General features: G+C 44.1%; 1 protein-coding gene across 57 annotated transcripts in view; it reads left to right on the top strand.

Moving 5' to 3' along the window:
* Positions 1-6,129, top strand: part of SEC31A (SEC31 homolog A, COPII component) — an 82,061-nt gene that overhangs the window by 7,223 nt on the left and 68,709 nt on the right. For 44 of the 57 annotated variants that reach the window (NM_001318119.2, NM_001300744.3, NM_001300745.3 and 41 more), the window contains exon 1: positions 2,194-2,259. The exons of 1 other annotated variant lie outside the window; for it this stretch is intronic. Coding sequence is in view for 3 of the 56 variants with exons in the window: in NM_001191049.2 (NP_001177978.1) it covers positions 2,196-2,259 (64 nt within the window). In the remaining 53 variants the exon portion in view is untranslated. 57 annotated transcript variants of the gene reach the window in all.

Raw genomic sequence — 6,129 nt, 5'->3', positions numbered from 1 at the left:
CTATAATCCTTGCACTTTGGGTGGCTAAAGCAGAAGGATCCCTGGAGGCCAGGAGTTCCAGACCAGTATGGGCAACAAAATGAGTCCCTGTGTCTACAGAAAATAAAATAATTAACCAGGCATGGTGTTGTGTGCCTGTAGTCCTAGCTACTTGGGAGGCTGAGGTGGGAGGATCACTTGCGCCCTGGATGTTGAAGCTGCAGCGCGCTGTGATCATTGCCACCACACTCCAGCCTGGGCAACACAGCAAAAACCTGTCTCTAAAAAAACCTAGAATATCTTTGTGCTATGCAAATCCTAATTTGAAAAATTTGTCATTAAATTCTCTCCAAACATTCTTCTAGTGAGCAATTCAGTTTTTATTTGATTCAGGATTAGGCTTGGATAGTAGTTAACTAAATTGGATTTAGTTTTGTGAACTAAAGAGTTTTTCTTTTTTTAGATACAGGCAGTCTTTGCACAGTTCCAATATGCATAAATACCAGTGACCACAGTTAAATAAAACCAGTCCAACAATGTGGTTAATAATTCCATTACCACAGTACTGAGAAAACTTGCATAAATTTTGCTGCTAGCTCTTTAGTCCACAAATCATTGTGCCCCCCCCCCCAAAAAAAAGATGTGCATCATGATCAGTCGCCAGTTACATTACTTTGCTTTCAAAGTTTGTTGATTTGTTACTGATCATCTGTTTAGTTCATGCACAGATAGCAGAGCACAAAGTGCATAGTACTGTTGCCTCCTTGACCCCAGAGATTAAACTTGTGACCATTTATAAAAATGGATAATTAAAAGAGGTAATTGGTCAACAAAGGACAGAGCAGCAAAGAAAAGTGATAATGCTGGAAGTGAAATTGGATGTGATTAGATTTGAAAGTGGTGACAGCAAAGCAAAGATAGGTTGAGACCCAGACCTGCATGAAGCTGTAATACAAGCCTATTGAAAAAGTCTGATAAATGTAAAAAGGTAAAGTTGCTTCAACGTCTTTCAGTTTTAATTGCACTAGGAACAGAAAGCTGCTTGCGGTTGAAATGGAGCATTTACTTGTTTGAATTGAAGACTAATCAAAAACAAATCCCAATCAGTTTGACTAGCATTCAGGCCAAAGTGATAACCTTAGTTACTGCGTTGAAAGAAAATGGTAATTAGAAGACTGAAAGAGAATATATTACTACCAGTAAAAGTTGGGTTCATTATTTCAGAAGTTGGCGTGAATTGATGTTAAGCTGTCTTATGAAGCTGCAAGCTTCAGATGGAATGTTACAGAAGATGTAGCTGACTGTGGGAATGTTAACACTGCTGCTGTTCAAGGGGCAGGATCCTTCTGCTTTAGCTACCCAAAGTGCAAGAGTTGGCTTTGAATGCTAGATGTAATGAGAAAAGAACTTGTCTAGAAGTTAGGAGATCTGGGTTGAATCCAATTTCTGGTAATTTAGCAAGTGATTTTCCTTTGGCTTCACCTTGCTGTAAAATAATTCCTCCCTAAACTAAAAGTACACTTAGGCAACGCATCTAATTAGATTTGAGGTTGTGGAGAAACAGTGGCAGAAGGTGAGTGCTACCGGGTCTCAATACCATGGGATAGTAACAAGTATGAAACGGTACTAATTGGAATTAATATAACACCCCATCTATACCTCTTTGTCCACAATAGCCTTTGGGAATGCCCAGATTGTTTCACTTTGTATAAGTTCTCAAAACGCCAGAATGTGCAATCAAGTGGGTAATTTTAAGAACTCAGTCACAAATTACAATAAAGCCCTTGCAGCCCGATTTTCCACCTGGTTTGGCGCGGGCAGTGTCGCCAGGGGCTGCCGACGCCTCACAGGACTAGTGCTACGTGGCGTTCCTGCGGGCCACGGCGGTTATTCGGCCAGACGGGGACACCCTCTGCACTAGTCCTTTACCCACTAGTCCTGGCTACCCCATCCACATTCTGCGCGCCGCCCCTCAGAAAAGGGTTTCTACGATCGCCGGGGCGCGATGACCGCAGAGCGCCACCAACCAGCGGAGCCGTACCCCGCCTCCCAGGCTACCGCCGGTCCCGGAAGTGCCGTGGCGGGCTGTGCGTCGGGTGGGCGGGGAAAGATGTCGCTCCCGGAAGTGTTGGGCGCAGGGCGTGGCTGCGGCTGCGGCTGCCACGTTGGAACGGAACGTGGAGGTGGCCCTGGCCGGGGAGGAGGGGCGGCGGCGAATGCTGGGAGAGTCCGACGAGCGCTGCACTAACGCAGGATCCGGCTGCCGAAGGTCCTCGCCAGGTGCGTCCGCCCGTTGCTTTTTGTCCTCTTCGCCGGTCCTTAAGCTTTGAGGTAGAGCCCAGGCCAAAACTGGGACCGCAGCCTGGGTCTCCGCTGCCCCGCACCAGCCTGAGGCCCGGTCTCTGGTGACGGCGCGCCCCTAGTCTTGGTTTCGGGCCCGGCGGAACAACGCCTGGCATCTGGACTCCAGTGATCGCGCCCGTCCGCATTCGCCGACGTCTCCACTGCTGAGCAAAAGCCACCCGAGGCTGGCGACAGTGTCTTGCCGGGGAGTAGTAGCCGGGCTGGTAACTGGAGTTTGAGATTAGGAGACTTTCAGACCCTTGTGCACAAAGAGGTGCGGTCCCCGAGGGTGAGGAGAGGAAAAAAAATCTCAGGATTACTTTGGCTTTGGTTAGGATTTTTTTTTGTACTTGAACTATTGCCAGATTTAAAGGTTCATAGGTTTGAACTGACGTCTACTGTCATTTAACTAGGATTATTTTAAGGACGGTGGTAGCCAGGCGCAGCCTGTACTTTGAGGGCAGTCTCATTAAGTGTTACATGTTTTTGCTAATAAGTTGTTAAATTACGGGGCTGTTGTAAAATAAACCAAAATATTGCCTGGACTTGTGGGCATTATAAATTTTTTCTTGCGCTTAAGGAATTAATTTTACGTAGGGCTATTTGAAGTTGCAGTGATCTGATAGTCTGTGACAAATCCTTTCTCCTAACTTATTTTTTCTAACTATAGAAAACTGAAATTTGGTTGTCTTTGTGGGCAGTTATAACTGTATTTAATCGATAAGGGTGTGTTCTTGTTACAGCGTCCTGCGTTTTCTGTACCTCCGTTTATTCAAGAGTTGGCAAAAGCTTACTCTCCTTTTTTTTTTTTTTTTTTTTTTTTGAGACGGAGTCTCGCTCTGTCACCCAGGCTGGAGTGCAGTGGCGCGATCTCAGCTCACTGCAACCTCCGTCTCAGCCTCCTGAGTAGCTGGGATTACAGGCGCCCACCACCACACCTGTCTAATTTTTGTATTTTTAGTAGAGACGGGGTTTCACGCTGTTGGTCAGGCTGGTCTGGCACTCCTGACCTCAAGTGATCCGCCCGAGTTGGCCTCCCGAAGTGCTGGGGTTACAGGCATAAGCCACCACGCCCAGCCTACTCTCCTTTTTTAGTGGTTCTTCTGTGCTCCTTGTTTCTCACTATCCCTTAATTAACAGCTCAGGGAGAGGTTTGTAGACTCTTAAGAACTTTTGGATAACTCGTAGTGTTTTTGTAGTTTTGTAGTGATTTTATCTTAAATACGTCCGCGGTTATTTGTGAAATTTGAAATTTGAGGTGGATTTATAATGATATTGCTTAATTTTATATAAGCAAATTCTTTATTGAAACCAATAACATGGGAATAGAAATAAATTTGTAAACTGTGAAGAGCAATGATTCAAAATTTTGGGGGGATTTCACTGTCTTACGGGAATCTAATGAAAGCATTGGAAGAATGCACATATACACACATGTAGGATTTTCTTTTTTTTTCTTTTACTTTTTTTTTTTTTTTGAGACAGGGTCCCTCTTTGTTGCCCAGATTGGAGTGCAGTGGTGCAGTCATAGCTCACTATAACCTTGAACTTTTGGGCTCAAGAGATCCTCCCGCCTCAGCCTCAGAAGTAGCTAGGAATATGCACGTGGCGCACGCCCAACTAATCTTATTTTTTATAGAGATGGGGGTCTCACTGCGTTCCCCAGGCTGGACTCAAGCTCCTGCTTTCAAGTGACATGTAGGATTTTCTATATACATAATATTATGAAGTTTACAAGTTAAAAACTCCTGTAAGGGGATATTACTAGATTGATTTACATTGATTACATTGTTGTTAGGAATGTCATTAGGTTAATTTCAGCTCAAAAAGTTTTATTATACTGAAGATTAGTATGACACCAATTAGTTCAGTAACCAGTGCACAGTTGCTTTCTCCTTTGATTTGGTTTGGGTTGAGTGAAATGAACCTAGAACATTGAAAATACTAAATAAATCCTCTAAACAATTGTTTCTATCCATATTGAGATATTTTGCCTGCAGAAAATGGATTTTTACTGAAAGCAGTGCCAACTAGGGATTGTATACCTGGTTTGGGAATCCAAGTTCCAATTCTATTACCTCTTTAACTTTTTACTTGCTTTCTGAGTTATGGATCAGCTCTGTATATAGCATTGCAAGGTTGGTATTTTTCAAAGAACAGTGCTGGTGGGTTTTAGTATTGCTTCACAAAATTTACACTTTGAAAATGAGCAGAAATAAAAAAGTTTCCACCTAATTGAATGCAATTATTGAGAGAAAGTTGCATGAAAAATAAAGAGTTCTAGTCTAGAATATAAATTTTCCTCAAGAAATTTTTTTTTTTTTTTATTTTTTTCTGAGGCAGAGCCTCGCTCTGTCACCCAGGCTGGAGTACATTGGCGCGATCTCGGCTCACTGCAAACTCCGTCACCTGGGTTCAAGCGATTCTCCTCCCTCAGTCTCCCGAGTAGCGGGGACTACTGGCCGCGCCATCACGCGCAGCTAATTTTTGTATTTTTAGTAGAGACAGGGTTTCACCAGGTTGGCCAGGATGATCTGGATGTCTTGACCTCGTGATCCGCCCGCCTCGGCCTTCCAAAGTGCTGGGATTACAGGTGTGAGCCACTGCGCCTGGCCGTGTCTGTGTGTATATATATATATGTTTTTTGTGTGTTTTTTTTTTTTTTTTTTTTTTTGAGACGGAGTCTCGCTCTGTCTCCCAGGCTTACTGCAACCTCTGCCTCCCGGGTTCAAGCGATTCTTCTGCCTCGGCCTCCTGAGTAGCTGGGATTACAGGTACACACCACCACGCCCGGCTAGTTTTTGTATTTTTTAGTGGAGACGGGGTTTCGCCATGTTGGCCAGGCTGGTCCCGAACTTCCGGCCTCAAGTGATCTGCCCACCTCGGCCTCCCAAAGTGCTGGGATTACAGGCATGAGCCACTGCGCCTGGCTAATAGATGTTTTTTTTGTTGTTGTTTGTTTGTTTGTTTGTTTGTTTTGAGACAGAGTCTTGCTCTGTCACCCAGGCTGGAGTGCAGTCGCATGATCTCAGCTTACTGCAAGCTCTGCCTCCCGGGTTCACGCCATTCTCCTGCCTCAGCCTCCCGAGTAGCTGGGACTACAGGCGCCCGCCACTGCGCCCGGCTAATTTTTTGTATTTTTAGTAGAGACGGGGTTTCACCGTGGTCTCGATCTCCTGACCTCGTGATCCGCCCGCCTCGACCTCCCAAAGTGCTGGGATTACAGGCGTGAGCCACCGCGCCCGGCCTAATAGATGTATTTTTGAAGTTTCGTGGTGGTAGACGTTTTAAGTAGTGATGTTTGTAATAACTGTCATTTATGAGCATTTGTTTATATATGCCAGGCACTGTTCTAACCACTCTGAGTAATACCACTTATTTCTCACAACAACCCTGTAGTATAGATACTGTTCTCCTTATTTTAATGAGAGAGGAGCCAGGACATACATGGATAAAGCGACATGATTAAAGTCAGAGGTGGACATAGTGAAGCTGGAATTTAAACTGAGGGTGTCTGCCCTAGACCCCATGCTCTTAATTGCCGTGCTATAGATACTGTCTTGGAGATGGCATGTATGAACAAGCCCACACAATTTTCTTTTCCTTTCTTTTTTCTTTTCTTTTCTTTTCTTTTCTCAATGTTTTCTTAGAACATTGAGTACTAAGGCTAAGAAATAAACTTTAGTAAATGCTTTGAATTCACATTTAACTATTTTATGTTCTTATAAATGTGTCTCTTTCTTTTTCAGTCAATGTTACACATTAACCAAGCATTAATGAATTAGGTAGTCCTTGTACTTAGGTCTT

Source organism: Homo sapiens, chromosome 4 (genome assembly GCF_000001405.40).
Source record: "Homo sapiens chromosome 4, GRCh38.p14 Primary Assembly".
Taxonomy (NCBI): Eukaryota; Metazoa; Chordata; class Mammalia; order Primates; family Hominidae; genus Homo; species Homo sapiens.
Note: the sequence above shows the minus strand (reverse complement) of the source record. Positions and strands in the feature narration are given on the sequence as shown.